Here is a 26536-nt window from a genome sequence, read left to right on the forward strand (position 1 = left end):
TCCTATCGTTGGTGCCTTACTTAGAGTGGGGGGAAAAGCCTTGATTCATTTTAGCATAACTACTAAATTTTTCACTGAAAGATAACTATCCTTCTTCCTTTAATGTAACTTCTATTTTCACTGGTTTGAATAATGACCATAAATCTTTAAATAGATACCTTACAAAAGCCAGTTATCATTCTTTCAAGCTCTATGATCCTTGCCAGTGTATCTAAAACTGGTTCAGACTCAAAAGTAACTTCCCACAGAAAATTGCTGCTTTTCTTGAGGTTTAGGGAATGAATCTACTCTTAAATACTATTTAATCTGTAATGTAAGGAAGCCACTCTCTTTCTAGGCAATTAAAGGGAGACAAATGGTGAACATCTAGAACCGTCCATTTGTATCTAATTATTCTTTTTATTATAATAAAGTTCAACAGAAATGCTTTCAAAGGCTTGAGACGACAAAATCATTTATTCCTACTATTTGGTGTTGTTCTTATGCACTTAATTTTATGCACAATGGTCCCATAATTATTCTGAGGGGGGAGGATAACTGCTAATTTCCATAATTTCCAATTATTATTTGATCCTCACAGTAATTCTTTAAGCCAGGTATATTATTATTATTAATTATTAGAGATAGAGTCTCTATCACCCAGGCTGGAGTGCAGTGGTGTGATCATAGCTCCACTGTACCTCCTGGGTACAAACTATCCTCCTGCCTCAGCCTTCCAACTAGCTAGGACTGCAGACATGTGCCACTACGCTCAGCTAAATTTTTTTCTTAAAGACAAGGTCTCACTATGTTGCCCAGGCCTGGTCCTGAACTCCCTGGCCTCAAGCAATCCTCCCTCCTTGGACTGCCAAAGTGCTGGGATTACAGGTATGAGCCACCACACCCGGCCTTAAGCAGGGCATATTATTATATCCTTTCAATAGTTTGAGAAACTGAATCTTAATGAGGTTAAATATCTTGGCCAAGTTTATTAGGCCAGTGAGTAGCAGGGACAGAATTCAAACCCAGGACTGATTCTAAAGTCAGAGTTAACTGCTTGCCAGTCGAGTAAGAAAAGCTGAAAACCAAAGAATCTGACACAAAACTCTGGTCTGGGGGAAGCTTTCCAAAGGACAGAATCAGACCAACCCCAAGTTTGTGTTGACTCTGAAGAATTGAGTTACCCTGAGGCCTAGATGTAAATATTATGCCAGAAGATACTGGCTCGTGGGAAAAGCTGCCCCAAGGACTTACTGGAAGGAGTACTCTCCAGGGAGAAGACGTAGGTTTGCGAATTTCAGCCTAAGACAGAATCTGGTTATGGCTAACAAAAGTTGTGACCTGTCACTTATGGAAAATTATAAATTGATATTTGCTTCTAACCACTTTAGCTGGGTTACTTTAATAAGACCATTATGATGCTCACAGATGGCCAGTTGCCTCACTGATCATCTCAAATGCAAAGAGTGGCTCATACAATTTGGAAAGGACAAAGACCAAGCTGAACAGTAAGTTTTGGCTGGAAACACCCTAAACATTTTCTAGGAGCGCTTTCTTCCTGCTGGCAGAAGAAAACAAATCTACTTGGTTATTATAAGATGTTTCATTTTCTTCTTTTTACCCCCAAAGAAAAATATGCTTTCCTGAGAAATCTGAAATTATAAGGTGCTCTTTTAGATATTGCCACATAATTTACACTTCTGGCAAAGATTCTCCCCGCAGCCACTTGGGATGCATTCTCATTCAGCACACTGGCACTGTTATGTACTTTTGATAAAGGTCTTATTCACTGGAATGACCATGGTAACCCACTGTCCTTCGATTGTCCCCACTGGACTATTTGTTGGGTGGCTTGAATTGTTAAGTGATTGGATGACCCTGTTCCCCACAAAGCCCGTTAGGTGGAGATGAAGCACAGATGAGTCCATTTAAGGGCTCATCAAGGTCTGGCAAGACTGGAGCTGGGTAGCTCTCCTTGCCTTGGCCAGGACCTCCAAAGCTTTCTGTTTCCACATTGAAACTTGGCCAATCTTGTCAGCTCAGTGACAATGAAAAAAAAAATGAAACTTGGTTAATAGGATTATATGATTTGGGGAGTAGAATGTTGTTACAGATGATTTATTTTGAAAGCTGATTTCACTCTAGCGAAAACAAGCTCAACCCATTACACCAGAGACTGTGGTGCCAAACACAATCATTTCCAGTTTGAAAGATGTGATTGCTTTTTAATGTGGAAATTTCACAAGGTTACAAAAAGGAAAAAAATTAAACTCCTTTCATATAACAAAGTCACTTTGGAATATGGGTTGCAATGCACTGACAATGTCCAGACACCCTTACCACCTCTTACCACATCACAAGTCAGAAAGGTGGATCAGTTTGATTTACACCATTTCTTGGTTGTGTTTTTCTCATGCCTTTGAAATAGCCTAATAGTTTTTCACCAAAATAAATAGTAATATATGTTCAATACTGGAAGTATGCATGGTCAGGCAAGGACAGGAGAGATAGAGGAGATAATCCAGGTAAAGAAACCTCCTCTGCAGGCTTGTGCTTGCATGTGTGTGTATGCATATGTGTTTGAATTGTCCTCCACCAAAATGACCTCATTTGCTTTCTCAGGTTTGACCAGACCAGTAGCCTGTTTTTTTAGTTGGTTCCAGTTTGTACAACCTGGGTTCACTAGGTTCTGTACCACCTTCTTCCTCCCCAATCCCATACCTTTGAGAGACTTTGATAGAAGTAAAGACCCATCAAAAAAATTTTTAAAGTGATCATAGAATATGGCTGAGATTATCAAAATGGTGACAGTTAGGTTTTGGTTCTGCCGTATTTCATCAGATCTTAAAACTCTTTGCTAGTCTGTAATCCAGAGTGAAATTCTTAGAAAAGAATCAGTGGCAGAAAGTGTTTCTACTGGCAAAAATCACCAAATTGAGAAAGATCAAAAATTTAAGCTGTTTTGAAGAGAATTGGATATTTTTCATTTCTGCATCCTTAAATTAGGCCTTCATCCATAGCTGTGGATGATGATTCTAGGGGGTTGAGGGGGAAATACGGCAATGACAGTGTAGCAGCATTTTTCAGAACCTGGGATAAAAATGACACATACACCATGAAACCTTTTTGTCCTTCCAGTAATTGTTTTGTTTTGTTTTGTTTTTTTGCCTGTGAATTTTGAATACATGTCATCCTGTTCTTTTGTGACTGACAGGAAGAAAGCAGGTGAAGAAACTCTATGATTGCAGGGCTCCTTGCAGAAGCTTGGCCGACAAAATTATTATTGCATCTGCTGGACCCAGCACAAAAGGACAGAAGTCCAAGTAAAATTAAAGGATCCAGGAAACTGGAAAGGAAAAGTGCTTGCCTTTTTTAAGGTGAAATTTGAGCAAAATGAGTTGGGAATCAGAAAAATAAGCAAAACGAGATTAGAACATCCAGTTTTCAGTTTAAGCCATTCCTAGTTAGCTCCTGGGTGTTCACACTTACTCCACCATGCATTGAGCACTCAGACCAACCCAGAACTCCTAGATCACCCAAGTCTAATGTAGTGAGTATACATTTTCTTTCTCTTTCCTTTTTAGATTATTCCTTTTCTGTTCATTGTCACTTCAGTTATCATATTGGAATATTGACCCTGATTATTATGCTTCTTAGCATCAATTCACAAAAGAAGAAGACAGGCACTATAAAATAGAATTTGGGATCATATAGATCGATGTCACTGGTGCCTAGAGAAAAGGCAACATTTATTGAGTGGCTACATTGTTCCAAACATTGCATCTACTTATCTCATTTAATCCTCACAAAAACTTGAGACAGATATTATTATCATACTTTGTGTTGGGAGGAAATTGAGATGCAGAAATTTTAATAGCCCACAGATTCATCTGATTTATAGCCCCTGCTCATCCCATTAGGCCGTTCTGCCTCCCAACTTCATTTGAAGTAGCAAAAGCCTATTGATTCTACTAGCTGAGGGATGGGCTTATTTAATGATATGAGCCTAGTTATTTTGCCTTTTAAGATCTCAGGGCCCTTGATTATGTGACTTTGAGAGAAGAGTTTGGAGATCTGCAGATGAAAGGAAAGTGAAACATTACATTCAGTAGTCAGTTAGATAATGATAAACTGTTATTGGCAATGTAGGTTGGTCCAGCAAGTAAGGCTTTGAGACCAATAATAATAAAAATATCATCTTACATTTATATTATGTGCACAGGTCTTTGTGCTCTTTCATATATATCTTCACATTTAATCCTCCAACAACCCTGTAACTAATCAAGACAGAGATTATTATCCCATTTGATAGGAGAAGAAACTATGAGTTAGAGCGGTTTAAGCAATTTGTTTGTGATCACATGGATAAGCAAAAAAGAGTCTAAACCCAGCTCCACTTTTCTATCTCTTAAGCCAGTTCTCATTTCTCTATGGTAGAATGTGAGCTTTATATCCAACTTAGCACTGGCGTCCTAAGGAAACTTTGCCACCTCTATCATCCTTCTATTGTGCTGCTTATCATACTGTATTTAAGTTACTGGGTCACTCACCTTCATATCCATCAACTTCAAGCTCCTTGAAATGAGGGACTTTTTTTCTTTCTTATTGAAAAAAAAACATTTTATTTAAGTTTCTAAATTGACCAGAGTGCAAATTCTTAAATCCTACCATTCAAAACTGACAGTTGCCAACAGTTTGATATTTTTTTTCTGTCTTTCATCTCTGTATTCTTAGTACCTAGCATAATGCCTGGCATAGAGTGGATGTCTAATGAATGTTGGTTACATTTAACTGTGGGATCCATAATTATGGGAATGAATTAGAAAATTGGTTACCTAATACAGAAATAATATTTGGTATTTATTTCTTTTATTCCTAAAGTTGTCATATCTGAGATGTTTCTGAAACATTTATCCATATTTTACTATTTTATGGTAAGATGACAATGGTAATCATAAGAAGGTTTTGGAAAATGACATCTCTTGCTATGTGTTTCTTTAAAGGCGAACTATACATGCCCCTATGACAATATCCCCACAATGAATGCCATACTAGGTATGGATTGATGGTTTCTTCAGTTTTGTTTTGTTTTGTTTTTAATGATTCCTTCTTGAATTTCAGTGGTTGCTAAGACTGCACATCTACACAGGAATAGAAAACTACATGAAACCAGACTCTAAGCTCAGAGGGCAAGCATGCACACGCACCAGAAATCATGCTATTCCAATCCAAATGAACTAAATCCTTCCGTAACGTGTGGTCAAGGAGTTAAGTTCTAAAGGAAAATGCAAATAGCCTAAAGTGGAAACCATATACGTCTGCCTCCTTCAGTCTCTAAACCTATGACAGAACTCTGTGGAGAAAGGTGGCAGCAAAGCATCTTAATGTTCTCTTAATACTTCACCAAGTAATGATAGCCTCACCAAGTGCTTCGAAGGAACTAGACAGTAAGGGCCAAAGTTTGGGTTTGGAAAAGAGAGGAAGCAAACTGACTCTGTGGTTTGTTATGAGATCCTGGGAGGAGCTTTGAGTGTTACAAAGAATCTTTCCTTTTCTAACCTATCCAGCCTCCTCCTACTCCCTCATGGGTTTTCTTCTTTTTTCATAGAAGCTTGGCAGGCTGGTTAAGAAAGGATAACGGGAGAAAATGACCCCTCGGCTCAGGTATCCTTTGGCCTATGACTATGGGCCCAATAGTAGATTGTGAGACTAGGTCTTTTTCATTGAGTCTGTCTTACTGAGAGGAAAAACTGCTTTGTGTGATGACTTTATGGCAAATGCTAGCAACAGCTCTGCCCTGCATACTGAAAGAGAGACATTTCTGACCGCAGCTCATGAACCACACTTATTTACTCTGGCACATGCCCACTATTTGTTCATAGGCTTTCTGTCTCTACTAAATGCGTTCCAATTTTGGAGGCTAAATCATTGCCAGTAGTTTCCAGGACATTCCGCTAGGCTAAGCAAAATTGCCCTAAGCGGTAGTCAGAAACCACTGGAGTAGTATTGTAAATACAGACTATTTGCAGAAAATGAAAGATACCGAACATCTTATCTTTTTTTGTGCTGCAGAAATCCATGAGTTGTATTTTGCAGAAAGCCATGCAAGGCACTAGCAAGAAACAAGAGGAGGGTACGAGGACTTTCATCCCCACTAGAGCTCAGAAATTGTGCTCAAAACCACTTTGAAAGTTGGGCACAGCCTAAAACAGTTATAAGGGCATACTATGGCCGTGTTCAGGAGGCATGCTAGAGATTAGGTACAGCCTAACCAATAGTAGCTTTTTGCTCAGTATGGATTTTTAAATGATCTGAAAACAGTGGAGCAATAATAAGAAGAAAATAAATGGTGGTCCTCATGGGCATCTTTATAACCATTTCTGTATTCAGTGACAGCCGTCCCCTCCCAATGTCAGTCATCACCTTGGACTTAAATGATGGCTTAATGGGTCATGTTGAACCACGCTGAGTCTGAGATCTAGGATAATTGAGAAATTCTCCATTTGTAATAAAACCTCCCAGCACTATTGAGCTGTGTATTCCATATCTTGTTTCAGGCAGGGACTAAGAAAAGGAGATATTACATGATATTGCTTTCCTGTGCATAGCTCTTTCACATGTTTCCTATTAAATTTGTTTCCAACCAAGCGGAGATTTTATTTACACATTGGCTTTAATAATAAATAAGTGTGTGCATTATAAATTCAGCAACTTTGGTATCAACTCGCCGATATGATCATGTTTGTGTTTGGAAAAGGGAAGGAAGTTCACTCTGAAAGCAAATGATCTATCAAAAGGAATAATTTTTTTTGGAGGTGGCTAAGCAGATTCTTGCAAGTACTTACATATTGCATAATACCTCTTGAGACTTATTGAAATAAATCTTCTTCATCCTAAGGGCAAAGCAAAATTAAGTTGAAATAAACCACAATTAAAACTCCATGCATTGAGTTAGGAGGGAGAAGGAAGCCTATACATATCTCTATCCATGTGTATTCTGTTAACATTTAAGACATTTTAACTTTGGGTAGTGGACAGCATGAATGGGGACTAGGTAGGAACAAGGCCACCACATCAAACTGATAGTGGGGTAGAAGAAACATTTGACACCTCTCGCCTTCTCTGCCCTCTGTCTGTGTTTAATTTTGCTAAATCATTCCCGTCTGGAGATTGTATATTTTAATCTGCCTCTCCAAGCAACACAGAGGTACGGTGTCAGGAAGCTTGATCTCAGAGGCAGGCAAAGAGATGCAAAAGCTATAAAGACCCCAAGGCCCAAGAAAGACAGAAAAGGAACAGGGCGGGGTTGTGCCTAAAATGGCATTAGCCTAAAATTGGCATATGGAGTAACTGGGAAGATGGCACTGGGAGATGTAACATTCTCTCATGGTAAATTTAGGACTTTATCTGTGTTTGTGTTTTTAAAAGTTAATATCCCTTTGAAAGGTCTAAAGATGACTTCCTGGGAAATATAAACTACCCTGAAATTTTACTGGAGAAGACATTCCATAGCAACCAACTTCAAAGTGAGCTAGATTTGTCCATCAGAGATACAAAGGTAATAGAAAAGGGGGGAAAACTGAAATGTGACAAAAACTAAAATATGTGTTGCTTGTGTGACCATGCATTGAAACATCATGACACGATAGCCCATATCAATAGTCAGTTTAAGAGAAAAAAATATCGCCCTGTCTGCATATCCTAACACAGCTCCCAAATAAGTCACTTAGATCTGTTTGGGGACAACTTTGAATTCACATGTTCTAGGTATTGGTTTTAGGTATCATGTCCATATATAGAAAATGGACATGATAATAGTTTCTACCTATAGATTAAATATGAGGCCCAAATGAGAACCAAGCAAATAACGTGCTAAGCATGGTACTTGGAACAGACTAGCTACTCAAAAATTATAACAATTATTATCTAGAAATCTTGCATGATGTGAGAATTTCTTTAATGTAGTGCGATAATGATAACTAATAGCTTCCTCCCCAGAAAAGAACAGCCTTGACCCTAATTTATAATTATTTTGTTTATTTCTCATATTTATATTTTATTTCTCATATATATTTTCCCCTGCTCAGGTTTATTGAGAACTCTATGAATTTAGCCTCATTGCAGCATTGCTCACCACTGTAATAATCCCCTAACAGTATTAGCATTGTGATTTTCATGAAAACAAACAGCAAATATGGTGTGGGCTCACACACAGATCTGCATTGCAACTCTGAATGGGGAAAAAAACCCTTCTGAATGGCATTTCTTGATGTTTTAATCAATATGACCATTTAAAAAGATGATTAAACTATCTATTTATGCTTTTTGCCAATAAAGCAGATGCTGATTATAACAGTTCTGTAACCTCATCACTTTCCTACAAAAATCCTTGCTTAGTTGCATGTGTCTAGTAGCAATGCCATTCTTCCTTAAAACTTAACAATTATGACTCTAGGTTGTTTTGTTTAAGCATCTTTCCATATTAATTATTATTTAGTAGTTATAGGAGCAGTAGAGTAGTTAGCTCAAATGAGAGAACAATTAGTAAATGAAGACCAGAGATTTGTGCAGTGGGTGTGTGTATGTGCATGTGTGCACATGTGTATGCTTAGATGGCACTGGAAATTTTATGCCCTGTGTGCATTTATGCATGTGAAAGACACACATTTACATACAAAAACCACATAATTATTAAGAATCAACAATGGTGCTCTTGATTCTCACTAGAAATCCTGTAAGTCACATGGGAAGTTTTCCTAAGAGTTTAAGGTTAAATCAGAGTCCTGTCTAGTCAATAACTCAATGAATATGTTCTGGCTAGGCTATGAAGATATTCAAAAAATATTGGATTAGTAGAACAAAAATGAAACATAAACAGTGTCAAATCAAAACTGCTGGGGCATTTTTTAAAAGTTCTTTGGCTTGAGTCATTATGTAATCAGAAATAAAGCATTGTTGCTGTTTTCTAAGAGACAGTTGGAGAGCAGAGTGCAGACTGCATCAGCAACACATCAACACTTAAAACAGGCATGGATTGTGAGATTACATATTACAAGTATGAATCAGCTGCACATACTTCTGAATCATTTGCCTTTCTGATCTTTTAGGAATAAGCTGTAGTCAAACCACGGGCTGAGGCCAGGAGTGCCTGGGTGAAGGTGCATATACACTATATATATATACACTATGCACCCTCACCCAGGCACTCCTGGCCTCAGCCCATGGCGCCAACCCCCAGGGAGGAGAAAGGTGTGTACAGTCCCTAGTCTTCCTGTTGACGGAGCAGTCAGGCACATTCTCAGGCTGTCTTGCTCCTTGACAGCACCTCCTCTGTCAGCTGCGATGACACCTGGCTATGCGAAACAGATACTCCGACTCTCCCAAACTCCACAGTTGGGCCTTCCTTACTCAGAACAGGTAGTTGTCTACGTGCATGATTTTGAGGATGTTTTAAAAATGTTCTTGCCCCCAAAATATTACTCCCACCGATTTGAAACATAAGTCCTGGAATTTCACCACTGAAAAATTCACAACTTTAAGTTAAAACACTGCTGTTGTAGAAGCCACTCTTGAAGTATAAAGCCCCTACCCTCCACCCCTGCATTAGGAGGAACAATGTATTAAATCGTTTTTACCTTTTCTGCTCTTATTCTAATTAGATTATCAGATCACTTCCTTTTCCCTTGGAAGGCAGAAATAAATATCCAATGGGAATAGGGCATGATACAGGTAGAATCTGATAAGAAATTTGGCAAACATGAGAAGTGGACAAGGTCCACAGCGTATCAGCTCAGGTAAGGGCCACAACGAAGGGACTCTGGGTAACCAGATTACAAAATTACACCTCTGGGTTGGGTAAGTAAGTGGGGAAAGGGGAGGAGTGGGAGAAGGAGTAGGAGAGAGGAAGAACACTTCCAAAATAGGTAAATGTTGCCAAAGAGCCACTTCCCAGCATTTCCTAAGGCTGGCCCTGCTAGGGGGTAAACCTTCCAGCAAAATACATCCTAAAAAATGTCACCTTTCCCCAGTGAACACATATCCCACCCCCACTCTCTCCTCTGCCTAGTTCCCATACAGAAGGCTTACAGTTGCTGTGGCAGCCTCTAAATTTTTCCACGAACCACTCATGGAACAAAAGTATTTACGGAACCTAGAGTTCTTCAACCAAATAATCATATGACAGATTTCCCAATTCTGACACCTAAGCCTTGGCCTTGGCACATCAATAAATCCCTTTCATGTTGTTAGCTGGAAGACAGTGAGTAAGTCTCTTGAGAATTACAGAGACGTGCACAGGCTACTCAGAGTACCCCTGCCAAAAGAAGATGTAGTGCATTATGGGTAGTTCTTGTCCCTTAGTTAGGAATAGGTCATTATTTTTAATCAGGGAATACATTTTTCTATCTTATGAAATCTTCACCTTCTTTTGGCAGGCCTTTAGTTTTTTAAGAAAGCTGCATATATTTTTAATATATAATATATATGACCTATTAAGATGATCCCAGTACGATTGGTTTCCTGGAAGACTAGAAGCCTGGTCTATCACTCCACCCTCTCCAACCACCTGATGCCATTACTTCCAAGTCATGGAACTTCCCTATGCACTCAAGAACTGCAGGGTTCTTTGGGCAATTTCTCAGGCTGTGTTTCATAAACAGGCCCAGAAACTCCTGGAAATGGAGCTGTCTCAATTCATATGAAAGAAGCCTCTCCAGAGTTTCTTATACATCTCCTAGGAGAGGCAGGGGAGGTAGGATGAAGGGAGTGGAGTTGATGCCTAAGATAGGAAAAGACATAATTATTAGGAGAAATTTCCTTTAGCTTTTCAACCCAGTTCCCTAAGTTAAGAAGGGATTTAGGAGTCCAGTTTTCCTGATACTTTCTTAGTATTAATAAAAGCATGGAATTTGTTTAAATTAACACTAGAGGAGTATCATTGATATTTCAGCATCTGTCAGTGTCTTATAATGAAGCTATGTATACCAATAATAATTTTTAATGTACTTTCATTTTAACTAGAGGAGGAGGAAAAAGAGGGAGAAGAAGAAAAACACACTGAAGCTACTCTGTTTCATTCAATTTAATTTTTCAAGCAAGCTACAAACAAGGATGAAGTCATTATGCATCTATTATCTCAAACATTCATAATGTTTTACTAAGTATATTATTTATTCTCACAGCAACTGTTTCAGGAATGCAAAAACCAGCAGAATTATCTATAGTTCACAGATGAGTTACAAAATAATTAGATAAAAACAATTTAGTTTCCTCACTAGTTGTTTTGTCTTCATAATTCCACATTATTTAAAAGACTTTCTTTTTTTACATCGAGTTGATTGGGTGCTTCAGTACAATAAGGACACAGCCTTAGATGAAAAAAATAGTGGTCAATTTTCCAAAATTAAATAATGAAAAAATGGTGGTGCTGCTACTACCATCAGCCAAGAATATAGTTGTAGAAATATCTTATCAGAAATATCATTCTACTCATCAACTCAAGAAAACCTTTCTTGTGAACCATACAGATTAAATAGTTTTAACAGAGATTATGTCTAAGAAGGCCACCCAAACTCACCTTTCAATTACTCATTCCCTTGTAGCAACTTTAGAGACATTAAGTATCTTAGGCCACAAATACATATGTTACATTGAAATTGAGTACATTTGAGTTTTCTATCCTCTGGGCTAAAATTAGTAGTCAATCACAGACTCTTTCTTCGAGATAATGTTACCAAGGAAAAAATGTCTCTTCAAGATTCTTGTGGATTAGATAGATGAAATTCTCCCTATACAAGGCTAGTGCCTCTGAACAATTTTGATCCTGACCCAGTAAAAATAATCTCTACATTTGGTCTTTGGAATCTGAGGAGGAAAACTAAAACAACTGGTCATTACTGAAGGGGGCTTCAATAATTACTTTAATGGGAGAGAGTGATTTTATGTGAAGGTCTTCGTGACAACTCAGGAAGAAACAAGCAAAAGAAAAACTGTTTTCACAGCTTGTGACAAACCAATACCAATAAATAAGAATGACACCTTGATTGTTTATCCCAGGGACTCTAATACTTAGGTTGACCATATAATTTATCGTCCAAACCAAGATTCATCAGACAGTGAACAGGGTTGCAATTAACAATTATGCTGGAAAAACAGGTGTAAACCAGGACAGTTCAGGCATGCAGGGCTTACAGTTACCTTAGTAATACTGGAAAGGGGGATTGATTATAGAAGAACACTGAGATAGGGCAGGTTTCTAATTAATGTTGAATATGAAGGGGACATCCATAAGGATTTTAATACATGCTCATTTTAACAGTAGCAGTTAGTGACATCCCAGTTATGCCCTCTTTTTACTGATGATGAAATTGATGAGCTTTATCTTGTCAAATGGTAGATTATCTTATATCTCAGGCATATTGGAAGGGACATGGGTTCTTTTTTTAACCCTGGAGATCAGTTATTAGCATAATCATGCCCTTATGACCTGAACATGAATGCCCTTTCCTTAGAGAATAACCTACTTACCTGGAAGAAAGGAGTTTTCAATCAATCTTTCAGAACTTACAATGTATTAAAGGTGATGTTCATCACAGATTATCTTGGGGGAATAAGAGACCATCGTTAGGATGGAGCTTGGCACACAGTAGGTACACAATAAATGTGTGTTGACAGAGACTCAGCAGAATAAATAATTTTTTTAAAAGAAATCATATATTTGTTTTTATTCAACTTTTCCTAAACAGTTGAATATAAGAGAGAAAATACACATTAGAGTCAACAAATTGCCTGTCTGTAGAAATCACAGCAAACAAACTGCTATACAGAACTTACAGAAGAGATAGTATCTCTCGGTAGAACAAGCTTAAAAGATGAAACAGCCTTTCTTTTCTTTTGATTTATTTGTTATTATGAAAAATAGGATTAAGCATATTTAATTGAAGTATCTATCCCTTCCTTGATAGGACCATCATCTTGGAGAAGAAATTTGATGTTGGTGTTGAATAAAGTTCACCAATGATTTGGCCATGAAATAAGAGATGGAGGAGTTCCTGAAAGCCTGTGTAGAAAGACTTACAGAAGAAATAAGAAACTGAAGTAAAGGAAACAGGAAATAATAAAAAGAAAGGATAGGGAAGATGTTACATTTAGGGGAAGCTGGGTGAAGAGTAGAAGAAACTTCTATATACTCTTTTTGCAAATACTTGTAAGTCTACTATTATTTCAAAATAAAAAGTTAGAACAAATTTTTTTAAAAGACATGAGAAAATTGAGATGGAGAAATAAACTGTCTTAAGAGCAATTCCATATAATTTGAATAGGCTAAAGGAAGCTTTAGTGAACTTCTCACCATTCTTTATTCAATATTCAGGGAACATTTTTTTGAGCACTTTCTTTGTAACCGTCATTCTTCTAAATGTTAAAGATGTAGTAAACAAAAAATTTCTGTTCTTATAGGTCTTATATTCCAGTTCATATTTATAATAGACAACTAATAGGTAGATATATAATGTGTCAGATGATGGTAAAAATAAAGCAGGGTAAAGGGGTACCGTGAAATGGGTGAGTGCTGTTCTAGATAGGATATTCATGGAAGGTTTCTGATAAGGTAACATTTGGGCTGAATGAAGGGAGAGAACTGAGCCACATGAATACTTGAGAAAAGAGTATTCCACACCTATGGCAAGTATAAAGGCCCTGAGGTAGGAGCATGCCTGGTATGTTCAAAAAACAGCAAGGAAATCAAGGTGGCATGAAAACAGCAAGGAGGAGAGAATGGGGGCTGACCAGAGAGACGTAGAGTGAATACAGGAAGCATGTAGGCCTTGAAGGCTATGGTGAAGACTTTGGATGTCACTCTGAGTAAGATGGGAGCCATTGGAGGGTTTTGAGTAAAACAATGGCATAAACTGATTTGTATTTTTTAAAGAACCACTTTGGCTGCCATCAGTGAACAGATTTTAGGGGGAAAAGATGGAAGCAAGGGAGCTGATAAGAGGCTATTGCACTAATCTAGGTGAGTGATAATCAGGCTTAGACCAGGGCTTTAGTGGTGGAGGTAGTGAAAGCAGTTAGAACAAAGTAGAGCTTCAATTAAGTTGTCATTTAGCAAATATGAAAGGTTAGTGCAGGCAGGTGGGTCCACTTGTTTTGGACATGTTAAGTTTAGATGCCTGTTAGAAAGCTAAATAGTGGTGTCAAGAAGACACCAAGTCCACTTTTGGAGGCCGAGGGGGGTAGATCACCTGAGGTTCAAGACCAGCCTGGCTAACATGGTGAAACCCCATCTCTACTAAAATTACAAAAATTAGCCAGGCGTGGAGGCAGATGCCTGTAATCCCAGCTACTCAGGAGGCTGAGACAGGAGAATTGCTTGAACCCGGGAGGCAGAAGTTGCAGTGAGCCAAGATCATGCCACTGCACTCTAGCCTGGGCAACAAAGAGCGAAACTCTGTCTCAGAAAAAAAAAAAAAAAAAAAGAACAGAAGAAGGAGACACCAAGTCCATAGTTTAGGTACAAGCTGGAGTTTGCACATAAAAAAACTTGGAAGACATCAGCATGGAGATGGTATTCAAAGCCAAAGGCTAGATGAGCTCACTGAGAGAATGGGTTTGAATAAAGAAGGCAGGTGGCTCGAGAACTGAGCAGTCCCCACTTTTCAAGGTGAAAGAGGATAAAGAAGAAACTCAGGAGTAGTCTGTGAGGCAGAAGAAGATCCAAGAAAGAGAAGTGTCCAGAAGACCAAAAAAAAGTATTGCAAGGAGAAAGTGATTGGCTGTGACCAACAAGTTGGGAGGTAAAGATGGAGACTGAAAACTGGCCACTGGATTTAGCAAGTAAGTACCATAAATGACCTCAACACAAGAGTTCAGAGACAGCGGTTAGGGCTGAAAGCCTGAGAGGAATAGGTTTAAGGATGAATGGGAGGGGAGAAAGTATCTTTACAAAAGTAAAGTCAACGTTGTCAAGGGGAATTGCTGTAAAGGAAAACAGAGAAATGGTGTGGTATGTGAAGGGGATGTGGAGTTGAGGAAGTTCTCTTGGATTTTGTTCTTTGAGACTGGAAATACAACTTATTTGTAGATAGGAATCATCCAGAAAGCAAATAAATCTTCCTGAAATAGGTCAGGAGTTTTATTTAACCAAGTTGAAGTGTGTAAAGTAGGAATCAGGAAGATTTTAGTTGCATTATTCTTGATTAATTAAAAAGGGAAGTGGCTGAGAGAGGAACTACCAGTAGTATTACCATGATTTCCATGGTCATGACCTTAGCTGGGCCCTATTGATAAAGGTGAATGCATGAGAGTAAAGATAAAGGAATAGAAACTTCACAAAGCTTCAGAGAAAAGGTCAAAGAAGAGATCTGAAATGAATCCATGAGATATAGCAAACAGCAAAATAAAGCTAGACAGAAATGCTGGAGAATTTTCTTGATAGGTGTACAGAAATCAAGTGCAATTATTTGGGTTTGAGATGTATGAGTTATTTATTATAAATTGCTATGTGCCTTGTGTAAAACAAAATCAGACAATATAGAACTACATAGGATAAAAAACGGAAAGTATGTGTGCGCACACGCACGTGCACACACACACACGTGCACACACACACACTTTCTTTTTCCCTAGGGGGAACCACTGTTAACAATTTGGTGCATCTCCTTATAGATGTGTATATGTGTGTGTATATCCATGCATATATGTATGTATGTATAATTACATTACAAAAATATCATATACTATTTACACTATTCCGCACCTTGCTTTTTATACCTAAAATATGTCTTTTGTATTTTTCCATCTCAGTAAAGATAGCTCTACTTTCTTCTTTATTAAAAAAATGAATAGGCAATACATGAACATGATACACTATATAAAAGGGACAACAGAGATAGTCTTCCAATTTCTGAGTCAGTCAGTTTCTCCCCAGAGACAACCACTATTACCAGTTCCTTAAATGTCCTTCCTCAGTTAGGCAATGCATAGAAACATATATGTATGTATTTATACAAATGGTAGCACACCATACACATTGTTCTGTGCTTTGCTTTTTAAATTTTAACTGTGTATCGTGGATACCACTCCATAGATGAAGCTGCCTCATTCTTTTAAATGGCAATATAATACTGCACTCTATTGTCTTTATTTAATTAAATCCTGTATCTGAATGTTTCTAATTTTTCACAATGAGCTCAATGCAACCATACTGAGCAATAATGAAGAACTTATTCAACAAGAAGAAAGAAAAAAAACAAAATTAAAAAAAAAGACCAAAAGAAATCATTTGAGACTGTAAAGAATTGTGAATTAAGACCAAATGAGGCCAGGCACGATGGCTCACACCTGTAATCCCAGCACTTTGGGAGGCCGAGGTAGGCGAATCACTTGAGGTCAGGAGTTTGAGTCTGGCCAACATGGTGAAACTCCATCTCTACTAAAAATACAAAAATTAGCCAGGAGTGGTGGCAGGAAGCTGTAATCCCAGCTATTTGGGAAGCTGAGGCAACAGAATCACTTGAACCAGGGAGGCGAAGTTTGCAGTGAATGGAGATCACACCACTGCACTCCAGCCTGGGTGACAAACTAAGACTATCTCAAAGGAAAAAAAAAAAAAAAAACTAATGTCACTAAAATGATCCATTTACTGGGAAAACTCCAAAACAAAAAACAATAGTGAAATTTTCCTTCTATATAAAATACATTATTAACTGAATTGGCTAGAAAGACAATGTCTTGTGGCGGCTAGTCTTAGGCATGGAAGATGTCAGTTCTGTGACCACTGGGTAGGTGAGTAAAATTGAATCATTCAATTCTCTTTGCTTCACTTCCCCATTTGGAAGAGGAATAATTGTGTTCAATGTCTCTACCTGCTCTGAAGACATGCAGGAAAAAACAGAAACATGAACCTGCACATAGCAGAAAATTCTCAAGTAAGATCCTCTCGGGTAATAATGTTAGAATGACTCTGGCCAAGTTATGTCTTAAAGAGAGCAGCTGAATTTAGAGGCAGAGACATGTGTGTATCAGAATCAACTGGGAAGAGTTTTCAAACTACTCCTTGTCTTGCTCCCTCCCCGCATCCCAGTTGAGAACCATAATGACTGAAGAAAACTTCCGGTGGCTGGTGCCATAAGTGATAGGACATAAGCATTTGGGTTCTAAAAAAGGGGGAGATGCACACAGTGGTGATGAAGGTCATGAGTTTCAGTTTCAGGGATGCCTGGGTTTGAGCATTGGCTTTACTCCTTATTGACTATATGATCTTGAACTATTTATTTAAACTTTGGAAAATCTTCATTTCCTCATCTGTGAAGCACCTGCCACATAGTTAGTACTCAATAGTTACGGCATTGGTTCCTTGGTAACTCTGACCTTAACTGTCCACTTTGAACTACAGATTTAAGGAAATATCTGCTCTCATATGGGTTTATCAATTAATTCTCCCATAACAGTTTAATAGATGTAGGATCTGTAAAAACATATATGCATAAATACATAATTTTAAAGCTGGACATGGCTCTTTAATCATAAAGTTTACCCTCAATAATGCCTCATTTTATGAATGTAGAAACTGAGGCTCTGAAAGGCATGAGACTTGTCCAAGGTGATAGAGCTGATAGGCATGAGTCAGGACTAGAGCTGAATCTTCCATCTTCTAGTCTAGCATCTTCTTGTCACTTCTTGCCTCTCTAAAACCACACATTTAATAAGATAAAATATACTTGCTTTAAAAAGCTAATGATGTGAATATTATTTCCTTTCTATTTCAGGGGTCATTATATAGGACAAGAAAAATCCTGTGAAGTGATCCTCATCCAGCTAATAAAATTAACTATACAAGAAGGTATAGAAAACCCCTCCCTATCATTGCAGAGGTGGCATCCAAAGACCCAAGAAAGGAGTCAGCAATAGCCTAGGATCCAGGACTCAGAGAGAGACCCATATTGGGAAAAGGTGCTGAATAAGGGGTAGAGTTTTTATATTCCTTACCCAGCCCCAAATTAACTTCCCCAGGCTAGTCCTCTGTTTCAAGCTTCTATGCCTCCCTTGAGGAGTCACAAGATTTCCAAAAGCTCCATGTTTTTTTCACATGGCTGTTTCTTCCTCGAATTCTTTATTCCTGCCCACCTGACTAATATGGACATTAGTGTATCTGCAATAAATTTATACTACAATTCTGCCATCCTAGGCAAACATGGAGGTGACCAGACCCGCAATGAATTCAGGAAGCGGAATGTGGTTAGTGACTAATACCAAGGAATCATAAATGCAATTCAACTGATAACAGTTAGGTCTGCGCCTCTAAAAACAGGACCAAAGGATCTTCTGGGCTCCCTCAACAAAGCTGGGCGCCAACACTGACTGAATAGCTATCCTTGGGTCTGACTCACCCGACCCAGTGGAGTGGAGGGGAAGGTCACAGAACTGGAAGCACATCCAGTCCAGTTCTGGACACCTGCCTGTCTGCCCACGAATGACCACTGTGGAATCTAAGGCAAGCAGACAGCTCCCAAAACTCACCCTGGAGTCTGCCTCCGTGCATGGCCCAGCAACCACAGCAGTCTCCACTCCATCCCTGGCCACCATCAGAAAGGCATCTGTTACCTCCTGCCTGGCCTTCAGTTCTGTGGTTGCTAGTATAACCCAACGGCCATAAATTTCAAACTCTGCTAAATGTTGACCTACTTCTAACTCTGACTGCAACACTTCCCCTTTGGGATAACGGTCTTACTCCTGAGTACTCTCTGCTAAATGAGTGCCACCTTGTCTCTTTCCTCTGCATCATTATAATTAATAAGCAACAATATCATCCCTCATGATTATGTTCTTATTAGATGTTAACTGGCCTTAGCATCATTATCTCATTAAACCTTTCCACCTAAATTACTTTATCAGCTTCCCTCCTAAGGAGGTCTGGTACTGTCTGTCTGAAAGGAATCTCCTACACAAACACAAGAAACCAAAAAGGATGATCACTGGTATTTAGTCCTGCTCCAAATACTAATATTTTTAAAAAATTAATGTTATTTCTACTACTAACAATAACCTTACATTGCTATAAATCTTCTTATCCAAAGTATTTAAAGCTATACCCATAAGTTTTTTAGCTTCCTCTCATTTTTATGGGGAAAAAATGTAAAAGAATGCATTCTATAATATTTCTAACTGTTAAAACTTCCTCCCTTATCATTACCCATTTCTATTTGGAAAAACTATTTCCAGTTCTTTCATTAAGATGATGAATTTCAAAATTTTATAGAAAAGGCTGTAAAATAGGTTTGCTGGTTTACTTCAGTTGTTCTAGGTGCAATCTTTTCTTCAACTTTCCTGATAATGCTTAGCTTTTCTTTCCTTTAATAGCATTCATTTTATACATTAACCTTTTATTAAAAAGTAGATGAAAACTATTCTGCTCATAAATGAAGAACATAGACTAGTACGTTTCTCTAGAAATGCTTTCATTCCTGAGGACTAATGACATTTATTGCTTCCTCTGTTGTCCTCACAATTTCATGTTAACCATGAACTCTTTTAATCTTTTCCTTCTTTATTACTAAGTTCTGCACATTCTCCAAAGTTTGGGAAGATATGCCATCGAGAGTCCAAACTTGCCCTTTTACAGCCATTAATCATGTTTTGTTTCCCACCCTAGTCATCTCTTCCCTTCCTTGCCATCCCAAATCCCTTAACTATCTACCATCATTCATCCTCACTTTCCCAAGTAATTTGCTATTTTTTAATATCTTATTATCTCATATTCCTCATTACCCACTTATCCTTCAAACTCTATTGTTCATTTAATTTTCTCAGAAATTATACAGTCTTATTTGGCTTGCAGCATCTTTCTCCCCATTCTTGCACACCTACCTCACCTTCCCACTTTCCAACTTCCTTTTTGTTTCCAAAGGTGCAGATCATGATTTGAAATGATGGAAATAAATCTTAATCTCCTTCCACTTACTTAATTTTAAAAATCCAATGATCATTCCCAGAGGGAAACCTAGGTTTGTAATTCTCAAGCCTTGCCACAGAAGCAATCAAATACACTAGGTCTCTTTTTATTTAATCATGGATAATACAAGGAAACGCTTTCTAAAATGAAATATTGCACAGTTGGTTGGTGTTAATCTGAGATGCGCCGACCATTCTTTTTCTCCTTTGGGAGTGAAGCCTAGTATGGTCAGCCAAGGACACATTTGTGTCTTATGAATCTATGTCACATAAGCCTTTTTTCTTAGGGATCTAAATAAACCGCTAAATACAAATCCTGCTGTCATCAAGCTTTCTGTTAGTGTCCAGCCTCTTTTCTTAGAAGAGCATAATCTTAGCTTTAAAAATTTTTTGTTTATATTTTGTTTTTCAACCTTCACAGGCTTTGAGGCTGTTTTCCCTTTCTCTTGATCTTTCTTTGCTCCTCCTGAAATCTCAGGCGAATTAATTTTAGCAAACACTGCAGGCATGCAGTCTTCCCTTTATTTTCTCTATTTCAGGATCCTTCCTCACCTAATCCTTCTCCAGTTCTTTCCTTCCTATTTCAAGTGCAGGACAGGGATGAACTCCCATCTTTGGACAGCCCCATCTTTATATCATCCTTCACTTTCCTCTCATCATTTCATTTCACTCCATACACACACTACTTTCGTTCCTGACCATGTTTGGCCACTTGTGTGGCTGCTGAAGTTCTGGCAGCCTGCCTTCCTGGCCATGAGTACAGCTACTTGGTTCCTTCAGTGCCCCCCAGGTGCTGCCAAGGCAAAGGCATCATGATCATTGACTTTATCAGTGATAACACCAAGGCAATGGAAGTAAACATACATAGGGACAGCCTCATTTCATGCTTAAAGGAAGAACTGGGGCAATTTCCCCAACTCAACTATCTCCCATTGAACTTCTCTGAAGAATAGTGTTCCTTTTCAAAGCTTATTGATTTTCCCATTCCATTACAGGCATATAAAGGCCTTATATGGGAATGAGATTAGTAAATTGTAACTACTGAAACCTAGCATGCATCTCCATATGATTATGACCTTACTCTCTTTCTACACTGGCCAAAGGTATAGATGCTTGTGCAGTGGGAAATCCTGCTCATTGAATGACTATGAGTACGTTTCTTTGAAAAGAACAGAGTTTTCCTGAGTTAATCCCTTTTTTAATAATCCAAATTATCTACTCTTTTTTTCTAAAATGTGACCCCTTTCCCCCTCTGTATTCTATTACGATTCACCACGATTTCTCCTGAGGGTACAATAGAGTCTAATTTTCTTCATTATTCAATTTGGATCCTGTTAAGAGAGACAGACATTCACTGACAAGAAGAACATTTAAATTTTGGCAAATAAGTTCATTAGTATTCAGAAAGCTTTGCACCCCTCATATTTAATAAACCTTTCCATTACAGAGTAAGAAATCCTGCAAAATAGTCAAACAAATTAGCAATGGGGCCACCAAGAGAGTACATTCAACCTGGATTCAAAGATGTCTCAGTTTATTAGTTTTCTGTCAATCATTAAAACAAGAAAGATGAAACATGCAATTAGATACAAGGAGACAGAACTCCTAATTCTTTCATCCTAGCTGAAGCAGAAGAGTTTTAATTGCTTGGAAAAATAAGATTTTCGTTTTCTCTCAAGAGGGAAGAGGAAGCAAATATAAATTGCCTTAGAGTCTATGGCTGGAGGTACAATGCTCCAAACCATGCAAATGAGAGGTGGAAAGACAAGTCCATCATCTGTATGTTTTGTCTTTACAATGGCCAATATCCAGATATTTAGAAATGTGAGATAATTGGCAGAATATTCCTTTTTTCATTAGAATGTTTAGAGTCACATAGATTTACTGATTCTCTTCTTCTTAATGAGAGTGACACTGCACTAAAATACTTGAATATGTTGTCAGTTATTCCAGAGCCAATTTTCCATTTATGTGAGTTATCAGTGCCCTTTGTTTCTCTTCTAAGTCCTACCAGCTACTCTATCTTAGGAGCCTTACACTGTTTATAACATATTTACCAGAGGGAAAGTAAGGACAAGGAGAGGAGATAAAATACTAATCAATCCATTTAGTAATGATGAACATCTACAAAATTGAAGACGAGAAAATTAAAACTCTTGGCCATGGAGAGGTATAGACGTTAACTGCAGGTGTCTGCCTGTTCCTTGACCTCAACTCAGAAGTAAAATTAAGAGTTAAGAGTAATTAATTCTACCATTTAAGCCAGAAATTGAAATCTCTAATACTATTTCCTAGGATAAAATTGTGAAACCAAATAGTGTGTATCAGCAATTCTGAATTTGAAATTCCATATATTGATTTTTCCATAAAATATTTTCTGCACTCAGAGATATACATCAAATAGATCTGCTAATGTAGGAAAAAACAAAGATACAAATTTGCTTATATAGGATTCACAATAGGGTAAGAATTACTAGCAGCATCTTTTTGTTTGATTAGGCTTTTTCCTTTCCTTTTTAAAGAGGTCACCAGCCATAGGGATGTATGAATCACAGTATATGTGAAAACGTCTATTTGCTGAGAGGTACTCTGTAAGATTGGAAATAGTCCTTCCTACCAGGGAGGGATGGCTTACAGAGTATAAAGTAGTCAGTGGCCTTCACTGTCTGGAGGTCCTTCTACAGATTTATCCTAAGAAATAAAAGATTGTTTCTTCCTTATATCTGAAGATAGATCTTTTCACAATGACTCTAGGGCTGAATAATTATCTTTTTTTTTTTTTTTTCAAGACAGGGTCTCCCTATGTCACCCAGGCTGGAGTAATGGCATGATCTCGGCTCACTGCAGCCTCGACCTCACAGGCTCAAGCAATCCTCCCATCTCAGCCTCCTGTCATAGGCCACCACACGCAGCTAATTTGTGTATTTTTTTGTAGAGCTGGGGTTTTGCCATGTTCCCTAGGCTACACTTGAATTCCTGGGCTCAAGCAATCTGCTGCCTCGGCCTCCCAAAGTGCTGTGATTACAAGTGTGCAGCACCATGCCTGGCCCTGCATAATTATCTGATGTGTATCTCAAGGCACTCTAAAAGTTGCTTGAGTAGAATGGGGCATCTGTCTGTAGTTGGTTACCCTGGGACATGGGCACATTCCCCTGGGATATCGTTGATTCTTTCCAAAGAGAAAGACAGCAGATGAAAGAAATTAGGGTTTTGTCTCCTGGAGACTGGGAAAGTCTCAGGTTTACCTTGTATCTCCAAACCTAGCACACACCTGGTACACGGCAATGGCATATGCTCAATAGAAATGTGATGAAGGGAAGGAGAGGGAGAAAGGTAGCGGGGAAAAAAGGAGGGGATAAAGCTCCCATATGCTCTACAGTGTATATTCCTACAACCTTCCTAACTCCAAAGGGGAGAAGCAGACTCACTGTATCCTAAAACATTGATAAAACACCCACTTCAGAAAAAAGTAATAACAATCAAGTAACTATTGAAGATCTATTTGACCTAACAGCATAGAAACAGAAGAATTACACACTGGCCAGCTGTAGCGTAGGGCCTGATCTTAATGTTTTAGAGCTGGAGAGGCCTGGAGTCACTCAAGAGGCATCCAAATGGAATGTGAAATGACTTACCCACAGTCACATAGCTTGTTAGTATTAGAACACAAACTAAAACCCAGGTCTCAAAATTCCCAGCCCAGCATTTTTCACGCTGCAGTTTCCTATATAGAACAGAAGCAATAGCTGTTCTTGAATCCTATCCCTTCCTGTTTCCTAACCCAAGTCACTTCATATGTCCTTCCGCAGAGGCCCTGCTAACCTTAAGCCCTTTCCCTGGTACCACAGAACTTTGTACAACTTGCTGGGGGGAAACAGCCCATGGTCATACGCCATTTATAGAATGCAGGCTTATAGAACATGGTCAATAGGAATGATTAAGGAAATAGGAATTACCCTAATAATTGGAACACTGGCTCAATTATATCTTTGTGGCCATTTGTTAGTTGTAGCCACTGTTCTTCATACCTAAGGGGAAGCTACAGTGTAAGCTCCAAGGGGGCAGGAACCATGTCTGTCTAGCCCCTAAGTCTCTACAGTGTCCAGTAGGTACTTAACTATTAGTTGTATTTTTAAACATGACCACCAGTTCCATATTTCATGATTCCAAGCAGGTTCCATCATGGCTTTATCTACAAATAACCAGCAATGTCATCCTTTAGCCAAATATTTTTGAAGCATCCAGCTCTACCTTGTGTCTCCAATAATCTAATGAACTCAACACAGAGTCTGACCACCAGGCCCATAGGCAAAGAGTTCAAGTTCCATTTGACTTGAACTACTCTGTGAGCAATGACCCTCACCCCCAAGTGAACGAAGACTCCCTAAGGGCTCACATTATAGAAATGGAAGATAGATAGTCTGCCAGTGTCTTTATTATCAAAGCCCTGGAGTGCAGAGAAGAGACATGTAGGGTAATGAATTGGTGTCTCCCTCAGACCACTACTTGTTCAATCTTTATTAGAGGAAAGGCTGACCTCTGTATGGGCAAGAACCAAGCAGGAAGATCATGGGAGCACTCAGCCTACCCTCTGTGGTCATAAACAATCTAGCTAGAGTCCCTGTTTTATATATCCTAGTAAGAAAAACAGAAACCCTGAAGTCAAACAGCATATTCCTCTATATTCTGATTATGCCCTACTTTCTACCCCTAAGGAATTTAACAAATCATTACTTCCAACCCCACACAGAATCCTCCCTGAGAGAAGAGCTGGTAAATATATTTTCCATGGATGTGTTAGCCTACTATTGACATGTTAGTGCCCTTATAGTTTAGTCCTCCAAGCAATTGTCCAGTTGTTTTGTGTTTAATCTGACCCTGCTGACAGTCATTACTCAAAATGAAGAAGGCAATCTAGAGAGAAACTGTAGCTGATGCTCCTCTTCTCTCAGTGGGTGGACAGCCCATCCATAAAGTCTTCTTGATGATGGTGTCCAGGAGCCAGGATCCAAGGAGCTCAACAACAGCAGTGGGAAGAATTACAGGAAAAGGTCATGCTCCTCCAAGGGAGTGGGTTTTCCTTTGTCTCAGCAACTGTAAAATTATAAACAAAAGATTAAAAAGCTAAATCACTGCTCAAGTAAGGATCTTGGTAAATGCATGGTTTACTCAAAGCCTGATGACGGATTCATTGGCATCTAAATGAAGTCTGTGGTTTTCCAGACAATGGGGCAGAGACTACAGAAACACACAAATTATGCCTAAGGATTCTCTGTTCCTTCGTTAATTTTGTTGTACCAAAGAAAAAGGAAAAACTATAATTGCAACTAAATACAAGTAAATGCAAGTAAATCTGCATGCATAAAGCATGTAGAATACATGGGCTAGGAAGGGATATACTAGGGGAAAAGGAGAGAGAGCACAAAGAATCAAGAGCAAAGAAATTGCTTCTTCCCCCACGATATTGCACAGCACTGACCTGAATGGTACAGCAATTATGCGACCTAAGTGAGAGTTCAATAAATAACAATATCTGGGGGCAAACTGAGAGTTAAGCTCCCATGAAAAGGTAGAAGCATAGTAACCAAAGCCTTAGCCAGTCCCTGGGCAATCAATATGATTGATACCCAGAGTCTTTAACAGAATCAGATAGGATGATAATAATCTCACCCAAAGATGGTTTAAATGAAGCATCACTAGTTTAGGGAATTTCTACCAAAAACATCAAAAGTGATGGTGATAGCGCCATTATCAGAGTACTGGCAAAACCACCAAATCAATGGCTGTCTTCGGCTGCCATCCCTACTTAGGGGGGCCCCTCTGTCCCCTTCCTCAGGAACCAGGAGCCCAGCATCCATATGCCATCATCCACCCACTCTAATTTCTTTAATGCAACAGATAGTAGCTAAACAGAAAGTCTTCCAATGGCTAGAATTGGGTATTTCATACTAGGGTATGAATAACTGGTTAATTTGACTTTATCAGCACCATAAGACAGTGCAAAAAAAAAAAAAAAAAAGAAAGAAAGAAATAACAATTGGTGACTTTCACACTCCTACGAGGTATCTGCAATTTATAAATGGAGCTTGTGTACATAAAACTCTTAGTTACTGTAATATGAAAAAAAAATAGAGAGAAGGAAGGGACAAGTGAATAAGGAAAGAGCAGGGCCTTCCCATGCTTCTTGTTTAATGTCACCACCATCCCACACCAACCATCAAACCTCCGAACATGGGCTTAGGCAACTTGGCCTCCAATGATACTAAACAGCTGCTAACCCCAGTCTTAGAAGACAAATCCGTCCTCAGAGCACACAGAAGAGCTGGGTCCTTTAGAACCGATGACTGGATTTATAGAGAAGCCTCCTACAGATATGAGTGATCATGTCTGCATTGCTGGTGTCTACCCTAGTCCAAATCTTTCACTTTACAAAGAAGCAAAGTGAAAGGTGAGTGGCTTGCACAGTGTCCTGTAGAGACTAACTAAAGGGTAGAACCAGGACTGAGCCCAGGTCTCCCAAGACCCAGTCCACAGCCCTATCCAGGTAAATCCCCATGAGCATAACACACTGTGCTCCAGACACAGGCAGAAGATCATATTCCTCAAA

General features: G+C 38.7%; 2 long non-coding RNA genes across 2 annotated transcripts in view; one reads left to right on the forward strand and one right to left on the reverse strand.

The window, feature by feature from the left end:
* Window positions 1-1457: 1457 nt before the first annotated feature.
* On the forward strand, window positions 1458-14767 carry LOC124901703 (uncharacterized). The gene is made up of 3 exons (XR_007060444.1): window positions 1458-1487; window positions 12942-13183; window positions 14642-14767. It is a non-coding gene; the product is annotated as an uncharacterized LOC124901703 (long non-coding RNA).
* A 9652-nt stretch (window positions 14768-24419) lies between these two features.
* Window positions 24420-26536, reverse strand: part of DLX6-AS1 (DLX6 antisense RNA 1) — a 45551-nt gene continuing 43434 nt past the window's right edge. Inside the window, exon 3 of the long non-coding RNA NR_015448.1 lies at window positions 24420-25023. This is a non-coding gene — a long non-coding RNA (DLX6 antisense RNA 1). The remainder of the gene's footprint in view (window positions 25024-26536) is intronic.

Source organism: Homo sapiens, chromosome 7 (genome assembly GCF_000001405.40).
Source record: "Homo sapiens chromosome 7, GRCh38.p14 Primary Assembly".
NCBI classification, from domain to species: domain Eukaryota; kingdom Metazoa; phylum Chordata; class Mammalia; order Primates; family Hominidae; genus Homo; species Homo sapiens.